This window comes from Homo sapiens, chromosome 20 (genome assembly GCF_000001405.40).
Source record: "Homo sapiens chromosome 20, GRCh38.p14 Primary Assembly".
Classification (NCBI taxonomy): domain Eukaryota; kingdom Metazoa; phylum Chordata; class Mammalia; order Primates; family Hominidae; genus Homo; species Homo sapiens.
The window spans coordinates 7,977,063-7,999,096 of NC_000020.11; the positions used below are offsets into that span (position 1 = coordinate 7,977,063).

Here is a 22,034-nt window from a genome sequence, read left to right on the forward strand (position 1 = left end):
GGAGAGTTAGGTGTAGAAGGGAGTTTTCTGAAAGCCCCAAAGACAAGACCAATCCACAGTGTCTTGGGGGATTAGTAGCATCCCTTGCCATCTGGCTACCCCAAGACCTCAGGACAGAGGGAGACCCCAGAGGTTTCTGATGGCAACACACTGGCTGGAAGAGCCTTGGATCTTTGGACCCTGCCTTGGTTTTGTGCACTTTCCAGAGCAACTAAAGGGCACATGGTCTGAGTTTCACCGAGTCAGGAAGGGAGAAAGAGAGAGAATGAATGAACAGACTAGATGGAGGATGGACACGAAGGAAAATTTTTTTTAACAAATTAATATTTTTTGCTGCCTAGGCAAATGGCTTTTGTGAAAACACTTGTATGAAAAGCAATACACCATTTGTTTTTACTTACCAATCACTATCATTAGGTTTTGATGCAAATGGGAATTTACAATAAAATGAAACAAATAGGATCAGGGATTATATACAATACTGTGATCAAGTGATTTGTGATTCAGGCAATGTACTACTTGAAACACATATCTGGATTTCTCATTCCAATTGCTGCAGATGCTATTTGAGGAAGCAAAGAATACAGAAAGAAAAATAATTAGGTTCATTAGGCTAAGACTAATACCAGTAATATAAACAACAAATTTATAACATATTGCATTGCAAATAAGCAATGTTTTTAGTATAAAAATTGCATTTCCACAAAGAAGCTAATAACAAATACGATTAAACCACTTCAGAAACACGTCAAAGTTGTACGAGTCACACATATACAGTGTCACAGTCTACATAAAGCTTTACTGAGAATAAGCCATCTGAAGGGCATGTCCCGGGCTGAAGCGATCAAAGGGCTTTTCAACTGAAGTTCTTACTTCCAGAAAGCTGTTCAAAAAGCTGCCCCATCAGGTTCAGCAGGCTTGATGACTCCAAATTTGGCTTTTTAAGACAAGCTAAAATCTCCTCCAGAGAATCAAAATGTAGGACTGAGGTAAAGAGATATTAAACAAGAAGGAACTTTTCTGTTGGCATAAGAGATTTGAATGAATTCTTTCGAAAATGTTGGTACATTTGACAGGATGGGTCAACCACATATTCATAATACTGACAGAAATAACACTGTAACACCAAGATGAGGGACACAGATAACCTATTGATACGAGCAACAGAACCAGCCTCCCTCTTCTTTCTCTCACTTCATACTAAAGATTTTATGCTGAAATCTCAGGTTTGCCGTAACTTTTCCACCTTTTTTTAAAATTTATTTTTCTCTGGACTTCTAATGTTTCCATCCTATGAAACAACATACCAGCTCCACTACTGATGCATTTGGTAATAAAAAGTCACATGGTAAGTATTTGCCTTAAAAATGACTTTTATCGTCTACCCCAAAGGTGTTTTTACAGGATGCAGGTTCTGTAGACTGACATATTCCCAAATCATATTAGAACATCACAGCTGTCAACAAGGAATTTTGGCCATAAAAAGTCAAATTTTGTTTTTTTTCCACTATCAAAAGCCAACTCAGCTGAAGCTTATCTATTTTCTACTACAGTAGTTATTTTGAATGTATAGAGCTAAAGAGGCCTGTGGCTAACAGACAGGGATTCCATGCACAAGAGCTTTTAAGTATGTGCCCATGCAGTGCAAGGCCCTGTGAACCCAACAGGCCCTGTCCCTCATCCCATCCAATGACTATACTTCAAAGGGAAAGAAAGATGTGGATTGCCTGTATGTTGCTTCAATATGAGATCTCTGAGCAAGCTGGGTTGGTTTAGCAGATCTAGCAAGAGACAAATAATAAGAGAAACCAACATAAAGGTAATCAGAAGTTTCAAACTTTCCTTCTAATTGATGAAAAGATACCCTGCTCCAACTCCCCAAACATAAAGCACTGCACATTCCCATTCCAAAACCAGTTACCTGCATTGCATTCACCTAATTTTAATTTACATAAAATACCATTCTGTGACTAAATAACTGATACTGCAATAGAGGGAAGCATGATTTTAATTTTTTTTTTTTTTAGATTTTAAAAATCAAAATCATGTTTCCATGCACTTGAGTTCCGGATCAAATATATTATCTACAGAAAAAATCCACAAACTCTTATCGAAATGTTCATATAAAGTTTAAATTATTTCAGGTTGGCTTTTCTCCTTTAGTTTTATATTCATTAAGTATTGAAAACAAACCTAAAATCTTCAAGTGGAAAGATATTAAATTAAATTTTGTTGGAAAAAAACCCATCTTTGCCATGATGTTAAAAAAGGGAAAATCAGGAAAAATGGTTCCCACAGATATTTAAAGTTTTAATGGGTCCTCTTCTCCAAGATGTTTTTCTCCTCACCCTTCAATTTTTTTTAAAAGTATTTCTGAGAAAGAAAGTACATTTTCTGCCAGGTACGGTGGCTCACACCTGTAATCCCAGCACGTTGGGAGGCTGAGGCGGGCGGATCACCTGAGGTCAGGAGTTCAAGACCAGTCTGACCAACATGGCGAAACCCCGTCTCTACTAAAAATACAAAATTAGCCAGGCATGGTGGCACATGCCTGTAATCCCAGCTACCTGGGAGGCTGAGGCAGGAGAATCCCTTGAACTAGGGAGGCGGAGGTTGTAGTAAGCCAAGATTGTGCCATTGCAGCCTGGGCGACAACAAGAGTGAAACTCCATCTCAAAAAAAAAAAAAAAAGAAAATACATTTTTCTTATTATATAATTAGATATAGGTCAAATATCCCTTATCCAAAATGTGTGGGACCAGAAGTGTTTCAAATGTTTTTGGATTTGGGGATTTTTGTATATATATAATGAGGTATCTTGGGAGTAGACCCAAGTCTAAACACAAAATTCATTTGTTTTATATACACCTTATACAACATAGCTTGAAGGTAATTTTATCCAATATTTTTAATAATCTTGGGCATGGAACAAAGTTTTGATTGCACTGTAACTGCCACCTGTCAAATGAGGTCAGGTGTAAAATTTTCCACTTCTGACGGAATGCTGGAACTCAAAGTTTAAGATTTTGGAGCATTTGGGGTTTTGGATTGTTGGAACGGAATGTTCAACCTGTACTATTTGGGGTCCGGTTGGAAATTGGCTTTACATTTTTAAAAGCCAGTGTAGACTGTATTTCTGCCTTACCTTCTCTCTAGTCAAATACTCCACTAAAAAAATGAATATTTCAGTTTGAGAGGGAGGAATTATATAGAAAAGCCAAACTATGAAACCATTCTTATTCCATAATACCTCTGAACCTGAGTTTACTGTTCTTTGAGAACTCTGTTTCAGCTGATTATAAGAGAAAGAAATCCAGTGACACGAGGGCAGGCAGGCCCCGCTCTGCTCTGATCGAGAAAAGCTTCCTGATGTCAGGGAGATGGAACTGCCACCATCAGAACCATGGCACTTTGGGTGAAGGTGTGTCAGCGACCAAGGGGGCAGGAAATGGGCAGTGACTAAGGGGGCAGGAAACAGGCAGGCACATGGCAAGGTTCTCCCAGCCCATCAGCCCAGTGATGGCCTCGATTTTGAAGCTGCACTACTGTCTGAAAAGCACAATTACTGGTGACTCTTAACAAACTTCAGCATACTGGGGAAGGAGACTGTCAAGTAACTGAATTGGAAAGATGAAAAAGAACCATCTCTAAAAGTTGATGCTGTCAGAAGAATAACCTCCTTTGTGCAAGTCTTGCAACATCTTCATTCAACCACAGGAGGGCAGAGAGTTTCAGAACCTCCCCCACCAGTGAGCTCCGTGCTCACAATTAATACAAGGAAAGGGTTATCTAAACAGCCAGATAGAAATATACTGCACGTTCCTTTTTAAAGACGACAGAAACTTTTAGAATTTCATAAACCTGTACTCATTATTCTGTCTGGATCTAAGGAGCATAGAATCAACTTTAGGCATCTTTCGTATGCTTGGAATCGAATTTCATGAATTTATTCTAACACATAAATCAGGTAAGAGAGAAGTAGATGGATAGATTTTTTTTTTTTAAGGAAATTAGCCTCCCTGGGTACTTACAGTAGATTGAGTATTGAGAGATTTACAAAGATATAATTCTTTGGAAGATTACAGAAGATGGAAACAAAATCAAATCTTTCACTTTCAGGTACTGGAGTTCATTAATTCTTTCACCAAAAGCACATCACTGAAGGAAAATCAGAAGTGGTTTTTTAGTTATTATTAAAGTAGTTCAAGACCCAGGGAACCCCTTGAGATGAAAACAAAACAGTATTCAACTTTTCTTCACAAGACTACCTTGTACTGGCAAGACTTAGAGGACTTCTGGCTTGAAAAATATTGCTTAGAAAACTTAAAAAAAAATCAACAACAACTATATTTTGGACAAAACAATTTTTTTTTAATCTGTCTTGTAAAATCCTTACTTCCTTTTGAGTCTCTGATGGCCACAACATTTCATTTGAGATGTTTGGCAGTCACAGCTTCAGGGGTTATGGTTACTGATTATCTAAACCCCTTAGGTCAGAATGAACAAACACAGTTCATGTAAACCTGGCTGTTATTGGAGTCCTCTGACCAAGAGATAATAGTGAAGAGTGTGGAGAGCCTGAATGCCCATGGTGGAAATGCTGGAAAAATTAAAGGTAAGAAATAAAACATAGCACAGGAGATTCAGAGGGCTGGGATGACTTCTGAGCTGCTCTCTATACCCAAGGCCCTTTCAATTTCTAGCTGTGAAAGATTTTTCATGCACTGTGGTGCCTGATGTTTCCTGCAATTTGACAAAAATAAATACTTTACACAAGAAAAGGATGCAAGGCTTCTACGTTACACTTTGGGGATGCTCAGGAGCCAAGGCTCCTGCTTGGCTTTCATTTCACAGGGCCTGCAGCCTTGTCTCTGGAAGGTGCTGATTAGGACTGGGAATGGCCTCCTCTGGTCGAGACTCTCTGACCCCTAAGTAAATGAACTTGTTCCCATCCCAGTCTCCAAACAGATCCCAACACTACGTTTGTTTTTCTATATCCTGATTGTCACACCTGGAAGACTCTCCTTAGTATACATGAGGCTTACTGCCATGAGACCAAATGACTAGAGAGCATCTTTTAAGAGAAGCTTGCTCATTCAGGAAAAATTAAGGATTTGGTACAAACTGCAGGCCAAAGGGAAGCTGACATATTGTTTTGGTGTGTATTCTTGAAAACGCATCATTAAATCTACAGTCCCTTGTCAGCATGCTGACTTTTACGCTGCCTCAAGGAGTCTTCCACCACCTCTGTGTCAGCTGGGCAGGGTTGCTCAGAGATGCCTTCTTCAGCCTCCTCAGGCTCTACTTCCTCCCGGGTCACACCGTCCTCTCCTGGGGGCCCCTGATCATTGGCCTCACTTCTCTCCTCATCCACACCAGCAGCCAAGTTGTCCTCCTCCTCTTCTTCCTCTGCTTCATCCTCATCGCCAAGATCTTCTTTCTCTTCTTCATCATCTACAAGGCTGTCTTTGTTTTCTTCTTCATTTGAATCATCTTTTTCCTCCTCCGCATCCTGCAACTGTTCAGCTCTATGAGCCTCCTCTGATCTCCGATTCTGCTCTATGGAGGGAAGAAAGAGGAATATCCTCTGAATAAACAATGGTAATTCGGTAATCAATTGAGTGTGTTTAGCTGTGAAATAAAAATAGAGGGTAAGTGACAGTTTTTTCTATCTTGAAACTATGGTCATATAGGACAGATTCTCTGGTTGGCATCCTAGCCCCATTTAGGGCTTCTCCACCTGTCTCTGGAGATTTCATGGACCATAATGACTTCAGCAGGGCATGTGGGCAGCAAGGGCAAAGGGTCCTTTACGCTCGGTATTTTGTGTCTTGTAGAAAGCTCAGTGACCCTATTGGTCATGGTGATTGGTTCAGAAATGTGACATGCTAAGCCACTCAAAGTACTCCACAGAGGTTCTGGGCCAGAGTCAGGAGAAACAGCCTCTTTTTCTTCAGGGATTTTTAAACAGAGAAAATGCGCAAGGACTATCAACAGCTCTTATGAATAAGCCACACAGACAGAGAAACCTAACATCACTTGGGCCGTGCTTGAAGCTAGAATGTCCCTGGGCTTTTCAGTTATGTGAGCTAATAAATTTTCATTTGTTTTCCTAAAATCCTTGATATTGGGTTTCTATTACTTTTAAGAAATCTAAGAATCATATTTTCAAATTATCAATGGAAGTCTCAAAGCCTCAAAAACTTCAAGAACTAAAAAGAAACATGAGCTTATTTAAACTCCCACATAAAATTCAACAATTAGAAAGTCTCATGAACATCTTTATGCAGTCTCAAAAATAGTCTGGAATAAAGACATGCAAATCCAGAGGCACCTGGCCCCAGAAGAAGTGTGGAGCAGTGCAAGGATTTGGGAAGACTGCTTTTAAAGGACTTAGAAGAGTTACTAGCACACAGCAGAAGCAATATATATTGAGTTTCCCTTCTTCCCTTCTAGTTCTAGTTAGAATAAAGGAAAATATGACACTGATTAATGAAGAGCACATACTTAAAAAGAAAAAGCAATTGCCAAAATGAAATATTTCCTAATTTAAGAAAGGGAGAAAAATAATTTTGTTCAAATCTACCTAGAAAACACATTTTAAGAAATTTGGTAGTGATTATTTGGTCACCTAGTAAATCACAGAGAAAACCCACTATCTATATGAGCACAAAAAGGCACATCACAGAATTCCAAAAACACTCTAGATCACAGGAGCTTATCGTACTTACCAGAACGCTCAGATAAATGCCTTGGAAGTGGCACATAGAAACATTCTGATATTACCACCAAGACCTGGAAGGAAAAAAGTGATTTTACAGTGAATAGATAGGACATTTATTACCAAAGGACCTCAAAATTAGGCCTTGCTTCTATAATCAGATATTCTTAGACTAATAATTAGCAGCTAGTCAAAAGTCTTCACAAGAGACAAGGATATAATTAAGAATTTCCTACTTTTCAAATGTGACATAATACAGGAAAATATTAATTTAGAAAGTGGTCACAAAGCCAAAAGTCTACAGAGAACCCACTATAAATAGATGAACCAAGCAGGTATAAGAAGATAGACACTATGAACCAAGTCTTTTTAAATACACTATTCTGGACAACCAAACCACTCTGTATATAGGCTGCCCCTCACCAACGGGTAACCCCTGATTGAATGGAAGAACATTTCACAAATGTTACAGCCAGCTGTGGGTGGGGAAGGATTGAGGATGACTTTGAAGGAGGAGGCATTTAATGCCCTGGGCAGTCAGGAGAGAACAGCAGCACCGCCTGGCTGCTCTAAGCTAAACTAAGTTGGATCTCCATGGGGGTCTTGGATCCAGAGAAAGCCCTGAATGTCAAACTGAGGAGACCCAGGAGGTGGGGCAATGAGTTGCAGGAAGGCTTGGTGGGTTGGAGAACAATAAGCTCTAAGCCATTAAATCAATTTGAACAACAAAGAGAAAAAAAAACATTCCATCTGAAATGATTCAGGTTTGAAAACCTTACCTTTTAATGTGATAGTTATATGCTTACTGGCTATTCTAGGACATAATGTTTCTTTCTGACTTTTCTTTTTTATTTATAATTGACACACAGTAACTATATATACTGATGGGGTACAATGTGATGTTTCAATGCATGTATTACAGTATAATGATCAAATCAGTGTAATTACCATATCCATCATCTTAATTTATCCTACTCTTCTATTCTGGAAAATTGTACACTCAACAATTTTATCTCAGGTTTAGTCTATCTAATTTACTCATTTAATTTTGACTCAGTTGGTGAGATTACAAAAAAAAAAAATTTGGATCCTAGCTTCCCAACAGACATGTCATCCTTCAAGGAGTCTGGGCCATTCAGAGCCAGCCTCAGGCAGCTTTGTCCCCCAGTATTCCTTTACCCTGGCATGCTACGTAAATATTCTCTATGTGGCTAAGACATGAAAACAATTGACAAACACTTTTCTATCATCCTAGAAGTTAACAAAAATGTCATTCTGGAATAGGTGATTTAAATTGGGATAAGAATGCAGCTGTTTCAAATTGTGTAACTCTCACAAAACAGAAGTTGAAAGTACATAAGAAATTAAAGGTTACTAAAAGCAAAAATTCTAGCAGTTGTGTGTTTACTTTAATATACTTAACAGTTATAGAAAAGGCATTCTGTGTGTGTGTGTATATATATGTGTGTGTGTGTATATATATATATATATATATTTTTTTTTTTTTTGAGACAGGGTCTAGCTCTGTCACCCAGGCTGGAGTACAGTGGCAAGATTATGGCTCACAGCAGCCTCGAACTCCTGGGCTCAAGTGATCCTCCCACCTCAGCCTCCCGAGTAGCTGGGACTACAGGTGTGTGCCACCATGCCAGGCTAATTTTTGTATTTTTGTAGAGACAGGGTTTTACCATGTTGCCAAGGCTGGTCTCAAACTCCTGGGCTCAAATGATCCACCTGCCTCAGCCTCCCAGAGTGCCAGGATTACAGGCCTGAGCCACTGTGCCCAGCCTAAAACAGGTACTTTGAACACAGATATGTGTTTGTTATTTTTTGGAAACTTATTAACAGTAAATGTATGAATCTTTTATAATTTATGATTCATATGCTTTGAAATTATTATTTCGTTAATAAAGTTAATAATATTTTGTTAAATAAAGTTATTTTCTTATTAAGGAAGGGTAGTCTATCTCACTTAATCACTTGAACAGGCTAGAATCACTCTCTCCTTTCTTCAGGCCAAGCCTCCAATAACCTTTCTACACTGATTATCTGAATCTAGGTTTCCAAAGGAATCTAAGGCATAGGCAGGCAGGCCTGACTCAATTTCATGGACTTAAAGTCAACATCAAAAATAATATTCTAAAACTCTAAGCATTTTCACTAGTCTTCCAACAGGGTCACACACAACCTACATTCCCTATAACTCCATCATTGACTCGCCTGGGACCTCATACTGTTTCCCCCTACAAGAACCTCACACTATGGTAGCCCCAAAATACACTGCTAGAAAAATCTCGCACCAGACAACAGATGGGAGAAGCACAGACAATCACATTCTATTTATATCCGGTGTCAAATCCCTTTAGACGGGAGCAATGGGGACATGTTAATTAGCAAAAAGATTAATGCAACAGAACAGAACATACCCAGGACCTAATGAAGGACATATACAGATATCTAAGTAAGTCCCATTCTTATCCCTGAAGTTAACATCAGGAGCCAAGTTTCAAAGATAAGCCATGATATGTATTAAGCATGTTCATAGAAAAGTCAAATCGAGCCTCCTTGGCCTCTTGGGGTTGTGACTTACTATAAGTCAATTGTTAACATTTTTAAAAAGAACTTGCTAAAGAGCCAAAATTCATTATAAAATATAAGGACAGACTTTAAGATAATCTTACCTTAAAGTCTGTTCTTTGACATAAATTTTTAGTAATCATCAATTATTCCCATTATAGTGTTTAGGAACTATGTGTTTAGTATACAATATAAAGGTTTTTAAAAACTTTTTGGTTTAATTAGGGTTTAAAATGCAATCAAACTAATCAAGATTAGGTTAAGAGAAATAAAAAATAACAAGAAGTACAACATGCTGAACATTTATAGTTGCCTATGTAGTTAGATAAATAAATTTATTATTCAACTCTTGCCTGAAATACCTGGGGAGAAAATACCTGGGGAGATATATACTGCATACTGATTTTCATGCCCAAAGAATAATTGTGTTGTGTTAACTACATTATCTATCTCAGGAAAACCAGAGTGTATGCATAAGCGGCTAGTCAGGATTAGTTTAACTGGAGGATAAGAACAACAACAACAACAATCTTGCATCTACACAAGGAACAAATTCAAAACCTTGGCCTTATCACTACAGTGTTTCTAATTAAGCAGGCAATGTGTGAAATCACAGCTGACTCAGTTGTCTTAGAAACTATCAATTCTAGTAAGGTCTCTTTTTTTTTTTTTTTTTAATTACTGTCTATAGGCAGTACACATCTTCAAAATACTTAAGGGATAGGATTAGGGGATAAGAATTTAATAAATTTTCTGTTATATCTCACATTACCATTGAAAGCAGTCTCAAACAAGCAAATGCTATTTAACTACTTAGATTGCACAAAATACTATTTTTTATGTGCTTTTTCTTTCTTGGCTGCCTTTTATTTGTACATGAAATTCATTTTGCCTTAAAGATAGAAAAAGTTTGGTATTATCTCTTACCAGACCCATAAAAAGGCCAAAAACCAAGGTGGCTATGACGAAAAAGACATAAGAACACCAAGCAGGAATTCCAAGAGTCACTGTGAAATAGTTGTGAAGATGCTGGAATCAGAAGAAAAAAAATAAAACATTAATTTTTAAGAGAACCAAAAATATTTCAATCTCTCTCTCTAGCTGTTGTTTCTACATACATAGGTTCCCACAAAGCTTTATGTATCTAAATGATTCTTAAAGAACAAGTCAATTTTATAATATTGGGAAACTGAGAGTAGTAATTAAGGTCATTACTAAAAAAAAAGTTATACTTGCTTAGAGTTCATAATCTGGATAGAATTCTGGTAGAATCGTTTTGATAGTCCTTTCTTCCATCATGATGGATGCTTTTGGCCCTCCTCCCCTAATAATTATATACATCTCAATGTTTACTTATAATAGGGCATTCATGAAAAAATTAAACTTTTTGGGCCTCTGACTTTTTAGTAAAACTAAATTACGACTTACAGAACGTCAATCATTTAAAATGTCTCCATACCTCTTTTTCCTAATTAGACTCTCATTGCTCTACACCTATTCATCCTTTCAAAGTTTGGTAAATTACCAGAAAACATAAAATGTAACAGTAGACAGAAGAAAGTTTTTCTGATTAATTTATTATGAGCAAATGAGATTCCAGCAGTCTTTGAATAGAGTGTATATCCCTTCATGCTTACTGTTCCCTAAGACTCTATTTGATGACAAACACTCTAAAAATGAGTGAAGGGACATAATCACAGCTAGAAAGTATTTACATGCTAAATCATAAAGAAATTAACAGATATGAACTTGCTATTTCAAAGTCAAAACCTACTTAGATGTAGAGTTGCAGGAGCCATGCTTCCTCACAATCACTTAGTCATTTGTTCAAGACCCTGACAGCTTCAAAAATGGCCATTAAAATTCAAGTAACTACTGGACACAGGATGATATGGCTCCAAATATCATCAGCAAGAGAGGTAATGACAATGACTTCCCTAGAACCAGTAAGGTTGATGAAAATGAGTCCAAGTTTCTATTTTAATTTCCTATTTCTCAAAATCTAAATCACTCCCATTGGTTTCTTAGTTTATGTCAATGCAATTAAAAAACATATTTTATTCTGGCTTAATTTGGAATGATAAATAAAGAACAAAGCTTGTAAACTGATTTAGCAAAATCTGAAATATCTCTCTACAATTTCTTATTCAGCAGAAGAGATAGAGCTAAAGACGCAGCAAGTAGTTTAAACACTGACACATGGAATCAAAGTGTTCAATCAGTATTTGTTGAATAAGGAAAAGATGCATCAAATGCCTGAGCTATTTATTCATACGAAAGGCAAACACACTCTCAAACTGTAAAGCTGGCATCTGTCCTCTGTTGATGGCACTGGTCATCAGTGTGTGTTTAGCCAGGACAACTGTTTATTAAGAGTAACTTGGCTGGACACGGTGACTCATGCCTGTAATCCCAGCACTTTGGGAGGCCGAGGCGGGCAGATCACGAAGTCAGGAGTTCGAGACCAGCCTGACCAACATGGTGAAACCCTGTTTCTACTAAAAATACAAAAATCAGCTGGGCGTAGTGGCAAGCGCCTATAATCCTAGCTACTCAGGGGATTGAGGCAGGAGAATTGCTTGAACCCCGGAGGCAGAGGGAGTGGGCTGAGATTGCGCCACTGCACTCCAGCCTGGGTGACAGGGCAAGACTCCGTCTCAAGAAAAAAAAAAAAAAAGTAACTTAGCATTTTACAACTCAGCAAGCAAAAGGCGTGTTTGAGATATCAAAACATCATTTCATTCAAACTCTTTTCAAAGAAAGTTTTAAAATTTACTGTATAGTTTCCTACTTTAGAAAATACTGTGTATTAAGCTTATGCTTTTCTCGGAGGACTCAGTATCATCAATATTAAACCCGGAAATGTGCCAAAGAATTAGAAGATGGTCAAAGTCAATCTGCCTCTGTGTCAACCCATGAATGTATTTTAGAACTTGCTTTATAAGTATCTGCTGATTTATCTTACTCATATGGTTAGGAAAAATAATGTGCAGTTTTAAGTCCTTCTATACAGTATCTCATGCCCTTTCTGCAAAATAAATGATTAATGCAACTCTCAAGAAACTTTCTAAATTATTTTTAAATTTCATTAAATCATTTGCTTTTGAAGCATTGCATTCTGACTCAAACACTTAGTACTTTCAAAACATCCTCTTATTTTAATAAGCTGCACTTCAATTTTCTTGTATCAATTTCCTCTTTAACGGAATTTGAGTTTCTTGGAGAAACTCTGCCATCTTCTGGTCTTTTAGGTCATTATTAGTAACTATTCATTAATCAGGTTGTACTTTCACAACTACAGATATAAATATTTATCTGTCTACTTTGTCTGAGTCTACAACAGCTTTAAAGCCCCTTATGAGTGTTAGGATTAGTGGTACCATGTCCTTGAAGTTTTGCTTTATATATGTTTCCAAAGGAATAGCTTATTAAATAAAATCCAATTCAGTTTTAGATCATTGTGTTTCTGTTTCTTTAACTACCAGGCAAAGTGACAGTTTTCACTTGTGGAAAATACTGATCCTTATTCAATATTATATGTGCTTACCACAAGGAAATATCCCATGCTGTTCGCTGAAAATGCACAAAAATGTAAACTGATGGGCATGATACCTTATACTATGGTACTAGATGAATAAGAAAGTATCTTACTCGGGCTGGGCGCGGTGGCTCACACCTGTAATCCCAGCACTTTGGAAGGCCGAGGCGGGTGAATCACGAGGTCAGGAGTTCGAGACCAGCCTGGCCAATATGGTGAAACCCTGTCTCTAACAAAAATACAAAAATTAGTGGGGCTTGGTGGCAGGCGCCTGTAGTCCCAGCTATTTGGGAGACTGGGGCAGGAGAATTGCTTGAACACGGTAGGCGGAGGTTGCAGTGAGCTGAGATCGCCCCACTGCACTCCAGCCTGGGTGACACAGTGAGACTCTGCCTCAAAAAAAAAAAAAATCTTAGTCTGTTCACTGAAAATGCACTAAAATGTCATCTGATGGGTGTGACACCTTATACTATCATAGTACATGATTAAGTTAGAGCTAACTTTTGGCTACATACATATTTGAGTGAGAAGATGAAATTAAAACATCATTACAACAGAATAAATGAGAAGAGCATTCTAATCAGTGGTCAGACAGACTTAAGGAAGACAGCCAAGCCAAGGCCTCCATGCATCTGAGGTAGAGCCTTCCCTCCCCAGAAAGGCAAGCACTCCCTCTGGAAGTCTAAACTACTGCAGGTTGGATTAAATACTACTTAGTCACACCCACTCATCCAGCCCAGTGTTGCAGAGTCTCATTCAAACCTAGACTGGCCCTGAAGGACAGAGAGCCTTTGGATTTAGAGTTCACCTGTGTCATAGGATATACTCTCTGAGGAGTTCTGGAACAAGCCCTTTATCTCTTTCAGACACAGATCAGAATCCCCAAAATATCTTCCCTGCAAGGAAACAGCTAGAAAAGACTCTTCAATGATGGCCAAGGGTTCACCTCTTTCATGCTTTAGCTCTTAGCACTTGTAACAAAACATAACCTTGCAGCCTCTTGTAGGATCTATGAAAGGTACCTTACAGATGTGCACCACTGTCTCACTATAACATTCTACAAAACATTCTAAACATTTTTATACGAAAAAAACATTGAGAAGAGGCATGCTATGTAAATCACAGAAGAATGTTTTCAAGTTTTAAAATACACTTTGTTCTTCTCTAGTCTAAATGTTCATGGCTTTTAATTCTCATCATCAGATATTTTAAATAAAGCCTTAAGTTTTCTGTCACGTCATTCTAATAAAAAGGGAAGGTAGCATCCATCACACAGATTGTCCTCCCAAGGATGTAGCACATCTTATTTTAGCTAAAATCTGCCATATGCCTACATCCTCTCAAAACGACAGTAACATTTAGGAAAGGGAAGTTACATCCTATATTATCAGTGAGCAGCAGAGATTCAACAAATCCAATAAAAAATGCTTTAAATACATTTAAATGCTAAACTTAGTTCGCAAAAGCATATACAGGTTGAGTATCCCTTATTCCAAATGCTTGGGACCAGACAGCCTTCAGATTTCTGATTTTTTCAGATTTTTGCATTACACTTACCAGGTGAACATCACAAATCCAAAAATCGGAAATTCAAAATGCTCCAGTGAGCACTTCCTTTAAGTGTCACGTTGGTGCTCAAACAGTTTCAGATTATGGAGCATTTTGGATTTTGGATTTTTGGATTTGGGGATGCTCAACCTATATGCTGAGCAACTGCCACGGAACCCTATTTTAAGCCTGCTATCAGCATTGGCTAAAAAAATTAACAAAAGTTAAAGTATTCCACGTTGGCTATAAAGAGAAGGAAAAAGTAAAATAATGAAGACAATAATGATTAATACATATAACTAACAAAAAGCAATTATCAAGCACATTAACTAGGTACCAGATTCTGCACTAGGCACTCAAAGGGTTCTAGGAACAAGTCTATGGCTGGAAAAAAAAAAAATAGGATTCAGGGGCCTACACATAAGGTGTGAAACAATGATGTGTTTCTGGAAGAGAAGGATAGTGCCACTCTGTAGCACTGTAGCCAACTGTGAAAAGAGGGAAGACAGAAGACTGGACAGTCTCTCTCCACACATGTGCCACACACAAAACCCAAGAACTTCTAATCCTAACTATGCCACCAGACTTGGCAGTGATGCTTCCTGAAGTTCAATCTTCTGCACATTGCTTTTATGATATTCACCTCACCTTGTACTATCCATTAGAGTATTAACATTTTTCATTTAGTCACTAAGTTGCATACAATTTTAAAGAAATTGGATATTGCTACTATAATATAAAATCAAAATCAATTTTGTCCTTTGAAGATGTCAACTCTCTGAGAAACTCCTCTAACTGTCCCATCTCCTAGGCCTCAGTGACTCCATCTGTGAGATGGGTAAAATGTTGAGACTATTTGTGAGGATAGATATTAACAGCTAATGAGGTAATTACTTCTGTGAGTTTATATAAAAATTAAAATATGCAGGTGAGCGCCATCATGAGTGAATTGGAAAGAAAATTTAAATTTAGTGATGGAAAGAACACTGGAGATCATCTACTCTTGTCCATATTGTGGTATGAATGACATATCGAGGATCCCTGGGATTCAGGGTAACAGCAGGAAGCTGACAGGAACTGCCTCATAAGACTATTCAAGGGACTTTCTCACCTCAACAGTTTACTCAAGCAAGAACATAGGGGAGGTTGGTATGAAGTTAAGAAGGCCAAATGCAAACCAAACCAACTCCTGAGTTGATAGGAATTCGGCCATGTGAGTGTCTCATCACCAGGTGATCCTAGAATCTTGAGGACCAGCTTTTATCTCCAGAATGTGCAACCTAGCAAGTTGGCTTCACTTCTAAGGCAGAAAGAAACCCAAGCCCCTTAAGGAATCACTAATTCAGTAGGCGCTGATCTTCTAGATATATCTCTGATCTTCTAGATATCTTCTAGATAATTACTAGCTCAATAGGCTCTGATCTAAATATATTGTTTTCATTTTTTCATTACAGAAGAAAATAGAAGTTATAGAAAAAACGTTTTTAAAAATCACCCATATCAGAGAAAACTACTGTTGATCTCTAAGCATTTTCCTATATACACACAAAAACGCCATATAAACATCCATTATACTGTTTTGTCATCTTCCCTGCAGATATACTTACATCTAACCAGCTACCCATCCAGGGAAGACTGTTGCTGAGGAAAGACTGATTTCTATCTGTACATGTATCCAGATATTTCAGTAAGATAAAGAGACTATGGATAGGCATAAACAATCTTGTCTCACTGGCATTAGCCATTCTACGTCTTTCCTTCTTCCATCTTTATAATCTTCTTTCTCTGAGACTTTACACTTTTTTGGTTCCACCTTCCATCCCTAGTCTATTTCTGTCTCACCATGTACAGTTGTTTCTTCTGTTCATTATTAATATATTTGCATTGTAGTTTCATATGATCTAGACATGAGTTAAAAAACAAATACGTTTGCCACAATTATACATTCAACATGGATTTGAGGAACTCTGACTAAAGGAAGAGTCAGCTAAATGAGCTAACTGAGCAGGCAGGGCAGTCAGCTGGAAGGACTCGCTGAGTAAGTGGCTCTATAAAGACAGGAAGGCAAGACCATAACTAAAGGTGGGAGTGGGGACCAGAGACCTGATGGGTAGCCAAGGACTGGGTCTCTTTAGGTCAGAGATGGTGTGCCTTATAAATCAGAGGACAAGGGCCACATTCTAGAAACACAGGTGGCAAGAGACCTACCTACAGATCTGATGAAAGGATGGGGACTTATTTCTAAGAATAAATCACAAAAGTTGGCAAGAGGCTTGGGGAGGCTACATGCTGATATGGAGGGCAGTATCAGATTTCACAAATTATTAAGGTAATGCACACACACACACACACACGGAGATCAAAATAACACTGTATCATTTGCGTTCTTTTATGTGCAACTCTCTTCCATTCCCCTACATACACACACCCTACAATCAGGACAAATGTTTTAGTGATCCCAATAAATATAAATGGATTAAATTCATCAGTTAAAAGAATTATATCTTGCTATATACTTTTTATAAGATTTATTTAAAACATAATCAAAAGGTTGAAAATAGAAAAATTACTCCATGCAAATGCTTATAAAAAAGAAAACACATGGTATTAATACTAGATAAAACTATTTTACAATTATACATTTATATAATTGTACATTTTGCATTCTACATTTTACAATTATAAAATGTAATTACTTGTGTGCCAAATTTTAGTTTATCTTATAAAATGATCATTTTTGGTTCCTTTTGGAAATATCTGGAAATTATAAATATACATTTATATAACATATATATTCTACTTCTCAATCATTAAGAAAAACATATTCATTAGTTATTCAGACATGGATCACATTCTGTTCTCCAAACGGCTCTTTCTCTCCAGTTTAATGCATCCACACAGAATACATCTGTGTTGCCCATAGCTGGGCACTGTGTGTACAAAGATAAAACACCCACTCCTGGCCTTGACACACTCTAAATGTTACACATTGTAATCATCTGCATGACATAATGAAAAACTGTAACTCCTTATTTAAACTTGTTTGTCTAAGCTCCAAATTACAAGCTATATGAGGTCAGGGCCATTATGTATCTTCCCTGCTATCGTCTTTGAAAGTAAAACTTCTCTTTTACAGTCAATGAAGGCCATAATCAGCTTCCATCTAAGCTCTTCTTAACCTGCAGAACAAATTCTATTGCACTTATCATAGGTTTGGTGCTAAAATTTCACAGTCAATGCTGCCTGACAACCATCTACTCCAATTTTTCTGTTGAATTAGACAGTATAATGCTACACGGCTCAAACAGCCATCAGGCTACATGATTTTGTCAGTCTTTAATATCAACATACTGCAAAAGGCAGAATCTCTTTTCAATTCCCAGTTTGCAATTCATAATTCTTAGCCCTTGATTAAAGTTCTCACCAATGTTAAGAAAGCAGCAGAAGGAAACCACATGAAATTCAAACTATCTGGAGAGGGGGAAATATTAGTTATTGTTTATTGTGAGACAAATGCCAAAAAAAGTTAAATTTTAACCTGAAAGACTGAAACCAAGTCTTCAATTCGCCTCTGTTGTAAAAAATAAACAACCAAAAAACCTTGTGGTAGGTATTCTATCTCACAAGGCAGAATATAAATGGAACTGAGAAAGTGGAATACAAAAGGTTTTTCTTAAATGTCTTTCAACATATATGAATGTGTATGAGAAACAGAAAAAGAGTCTTCACAAACTCTTTGAATATTATGTTCCAAACATGACACCATAACCTACAATCATAGCATAGAAAAGACATATATAGGGAGACTCGCTTCTAAGACTTTTTGAAATATTTTGAGCTATATTTAATTCCAGAGCCATTTTGTTCAATCTGGTTGGATTTAGTCCTCCCCTACAGAGAAGGGAAATAAAAGGTTATGGGACATACTCAACATTATATAATGGTTCAAAAATTAAACCTGAATAACAGTTCTAACCCACTGAAATGACTCAGAGAAATTATACGATCACATATAGCAGGGGTCTACTACTTAAAGGCCAGATTGTAAATATTACAGGCTTGTGAACCACAATTCTCTGTGTCTGTCACAACTATTCAACTGTACCATTGTAGCATGAAAGCAGTCATAGACAATAGGTAATGAATAAATGTAGCTGTCTTCCAGTAAAATTTTATTTACAAAAACAGGTAGCCCATCCACAGGCTAGAGTTTGTTAATCCCTGACATACAGAACTACTTTCAGTCTTAGACAATCTTTCCTTTGTAGGGAGATATGCCTACAAAGAAATACATAAGATAAAGTAAAATCACATAAGCCGTTTTGCTTGGATGAAAGACTTCACCACTGATTTAAGAAAATAAGACCTCGACACAGTAGTTACAGGTTACTGTTCAGATTATGCCCTTCTACATGACGACATTACCACTGGAAACCCCACATGAGAGTAGTTGCATGGCTTAAGAAAAAAAGTGAAATTATAAATGTACTTATAAATGTTTGTTTTCCTATTGCTTAAAAGCTGTATTTTTATTCTTAACCTCTCTGCAAATATAAACGTTTTATTTAAGATTACTTACCCATATCTTGCCAGAGATGCTAAAAAGACCAGCCATTCCAGACATCCTTAAAAAAAAATAAAGAGAAGAAACAGTGATCATATATACTATAAAAAAAAAATGAAAATCAGGTCAGGAGGACTGGTCTATTTCCCTCCACTTCTTGCTAAATATTGCCCCCTCTCCCAGATTCATATCTGTTCTTACAGAGCTTAGATTCAGTGGCTATCATTTGAATCACTCTGCTGTAAATCTATTCCAACTCCTTGGCCCTTTCTCCTTTCATTGTGCCTACCCGGCAAAAATCTCAACACTGAGCAGCTGAATGTCTCCAGGGAAAAAACATCACATAACCAGATGACAGTTCTTTCTGCTTCATAGTCCCAAACCTAAGTGGACACGTAATACTGTCCAGCACTTTCTAAGCTCTAAGAAAATAGCTCATTTCCTTTTCCTTCTCTTCAAAACGTACACATCTTCCCATCCCCATGTACTCAGCTAACAAGCACTCCTCATATGTCACTGTGAAATCAGAAGCCACCATGTGCTTTCTCTCATCTTCCCACTACCAAATCTGAGCCTGGTGTCCACCTGCATCCACCTTCTCTTGTTATGACAGGAAAAGTCTAACTCTCTTATCACAGTCCAATTCCTCCACTTGTGCCTTGGATCCTATCCATTTTGTCTTATTAGGACTTGGTTCTTTCTCTCATCCTCCCTTCCTGCACGAGCAACTTCTCTCTCTCTCCTAGAACAGTCTCACTGGCATATGAACATGCTCTACTCTCTTTTACCCTTTAAAAAGAGTATCCCTGGACCTCACATGACCCTCCAGCTTCACAGATAAATTTCTCCAGATTACTCTACACATGCTGTTTCTTCTCTACTGTACCTTTAATCGATTAAAATCTGGCTTCCACCCTCACCACTACAGGAACAGATTGTCAAGGCCATGATGACCTCACCATGTTTCATTCAATGTCCATGTCTCAGACCTGATCTCCCTTCGCCTCTTAGTAACATGGGATACAAGAGACTACGCCCTTCTTCTTGAACACTCATTTGGCTTCTGGAAAATGGCAGACCTTGGTTTTCATGTTGCCTCTCTGGTACTCATTTTCAGTTTCCTTTGGCTGACTTCTCAACACAGTTTCTTAATTTGGGGGTGGCCCATGACTCATCCCCAAGTACTCTTCTCTTTTTCCTTCTTTCTAGGTGTTCCCCTCACCTCAACATTGTCTGTAGGTTTTTTTGTGTTCCTGAATTCTTCATGGGGACCCATTTCCATGCATCTGATATGCTTTGAATCTGTATCCCCACCCAAATCGTATGTTCAATTTGTGAGATATGATAAGGTTTCCCTTCAAATAGCCTAATCAATCTTTTAATTCAGAGTTAACCACCCCCTCTTTTTTTCCTTTTTCCTTTCTGCCTTTGTTAAATGCGCAGGCATGCCACAATACCAGCCATTATCAGTACCAACTCACATTCCTTTCCTTATTTAAAAAAAAAAAAACAACTTTCTGACTCACTACAGACACCCTTTCCCCTTTCCTCTTTCTTCTATGTGCCCACCTTATCTAAAAAAATTCAAATGTTTAGCCAACTAAAATTAGTTTATACACCTGACCCCAGCCAATAAAAAAAGGATACAGGGGCAAGACTTGCGTCAAAAATAAAGGCTCTCGTACTCCTTTGTTCAAGTGTGCTCTCATGGCGACTGGCCAAAAAGGCACCTCTCTGCGCAAAAATAAAATTGCTTTGCTAAATATCCTTTGTTCAAGTGTTCAATTTCTTAAAATTGTAAGCATTATTCCTAACAAATTGTAATCCCTAATGCTGGAGGTGGGGTCTGGTGGAAAGAGAGTGGATCATGGGGGCGGATTCTCATGAATAGTTTAGCACCATCCACTTGGTGCTATTCTCTTGATAATGAGTGATCTCTCAGGAGATTTGGTTGTTTAACAGTGTGTGGCACCTCCATCCTTCTCTCTTGCTCCTACTCTGGCCATGTGATGTTATGTGCTTCCCCTTCGCCTTCCACCATGATTATAAGTTTCCTGAAGCCTCCCCAGAAGCCAAGCAGATGCCAGCATCATCCTTCCTGTACAGCCTGTAGAACCATGAGCCAATTAAACATCTTTTCTTTATAAATTACCCAGTCTCAAGTATTCCTTTATAGCAATGCAAGAATGGACTAATACAGCATCCACTGTGACAGTTCTACAAAGTCTGCATCTCAAACCCAACAAGATTTATACAGAATCCTTAATTTTCTCTTGCCCAAGGCAATAACAAGTACCAAGATCCATCATGTACTCAAACCAGAAACTTGTAAGTTTTTATTAATGAATCCTTCTTCTCCTTCACCTTGGCCAAGCCTACCTTCATAACATATTTAAAATCCACTCAGCCTCTCCATCCCCACATCCCCACTGCTGCCACCTGACACAAGCTACCACTCTAAGCCTCAACTCACTTCATCCATTCTTGCCCTCTCCAATCTCCTCTCCTAAGGGTCACCTTCTCCTTGTGTGTGCTGATCACTTCCAACTTCTTTCCTGTGGCCACAGGCCCTGCATGACCTGGCTTCAGCCTGCCCCTCTTACTCAGCTCATCCTACATTCCCTTTCACTATGCTTGACCCTGGTCACCATTCTGCTCCTTAAGTACACCAAGCTCCTTTCCAAACTGGGGCTTATGCATATGCCATACCCATTCCTGGGAATAATCTTCCCTCTGCTCTTTGCCTAAGCTAGTTCCTTCTATCATTCAGATCTCACCTAGAGGCGTCCCTTCAGAGAAATGTCTCCTACTCCCTCCATCTAGAAGAGCAGGTCCATAACCCCAGAGCTATCCCATCTTTGTAAAATATGTTGTTGTGTTTTTTATCCACCCTCATCCCAACTATGATTCTCTGTACCTGAGGTGAATGTCTGTCTTGTTCAGTGTTGAATACCTAGCACCTAGGAAAGTATCTGGCTAAATCAGTGCTCAAATGGTTGTAGAATGAAATGTGAGAGTTGTTTTTAGAGTAAGCTATGTGTTTCCTTAATATTAATATAGATGCCACTAGATGATTTACTCCTGAA

At 38.0% G+C, this 22,034-nt stretch overlaps 1 protein-coding gene across 1 annotated transcript in view, besides 1 other annotated feature; it reads right to left on the reverse strand.

Annotated features, from left to right (window-relative positions):
• Positions 1–283: 283 nt before the first annotated feature.
• The window catches only part of TMX4 (thioredoxin related transmembrane protein 4), a 42,416-nt gene continuing 20,665 nt past the window's right edge, over positions 284–22,034 (reverse strand). Inside the window, exons 5-8 of the mRNA NM_021156.4 lie at positions 18,964–19,009; positions 10,226–10,327; positions 6,732–6,795; positions 284–5,559 (exon numbers count right to left, since the gene is read on the reverse strand). Of these exons, the coding sequence (NP_066979.2) occupies positions 5,189–5,559; positions 6,732–6,795; positions 10,226–10,327; positions 18,964–19,009 (583 nt within the window). The 3' untranslated portion in view covers positions 284–5,188. The remainder of the gene's footprint in view (positions 5,560–6,731; positions 6,796–10,225; positions 10,328–18,963; positions 19,010–22,034) is intronic.
• Positions 7,094–7,711: an enhancer, noted in NCBI's record as "OCT4-NANOG hESC enhancer chr20:7964803-7965420 (GRCh37/hg19 assembly coordinates)". NCBI's record gives its function as "activates a minimal SCP1, AML or CMV promoter by ChIP-STARR-seq in naive H9 embryonic stem cells {active_cell/tissue: H9 hESC(naive)}" and the evidence as "EXISTENCE:reporter gene assay evidence [ECO:0000049][PMID:30033119]".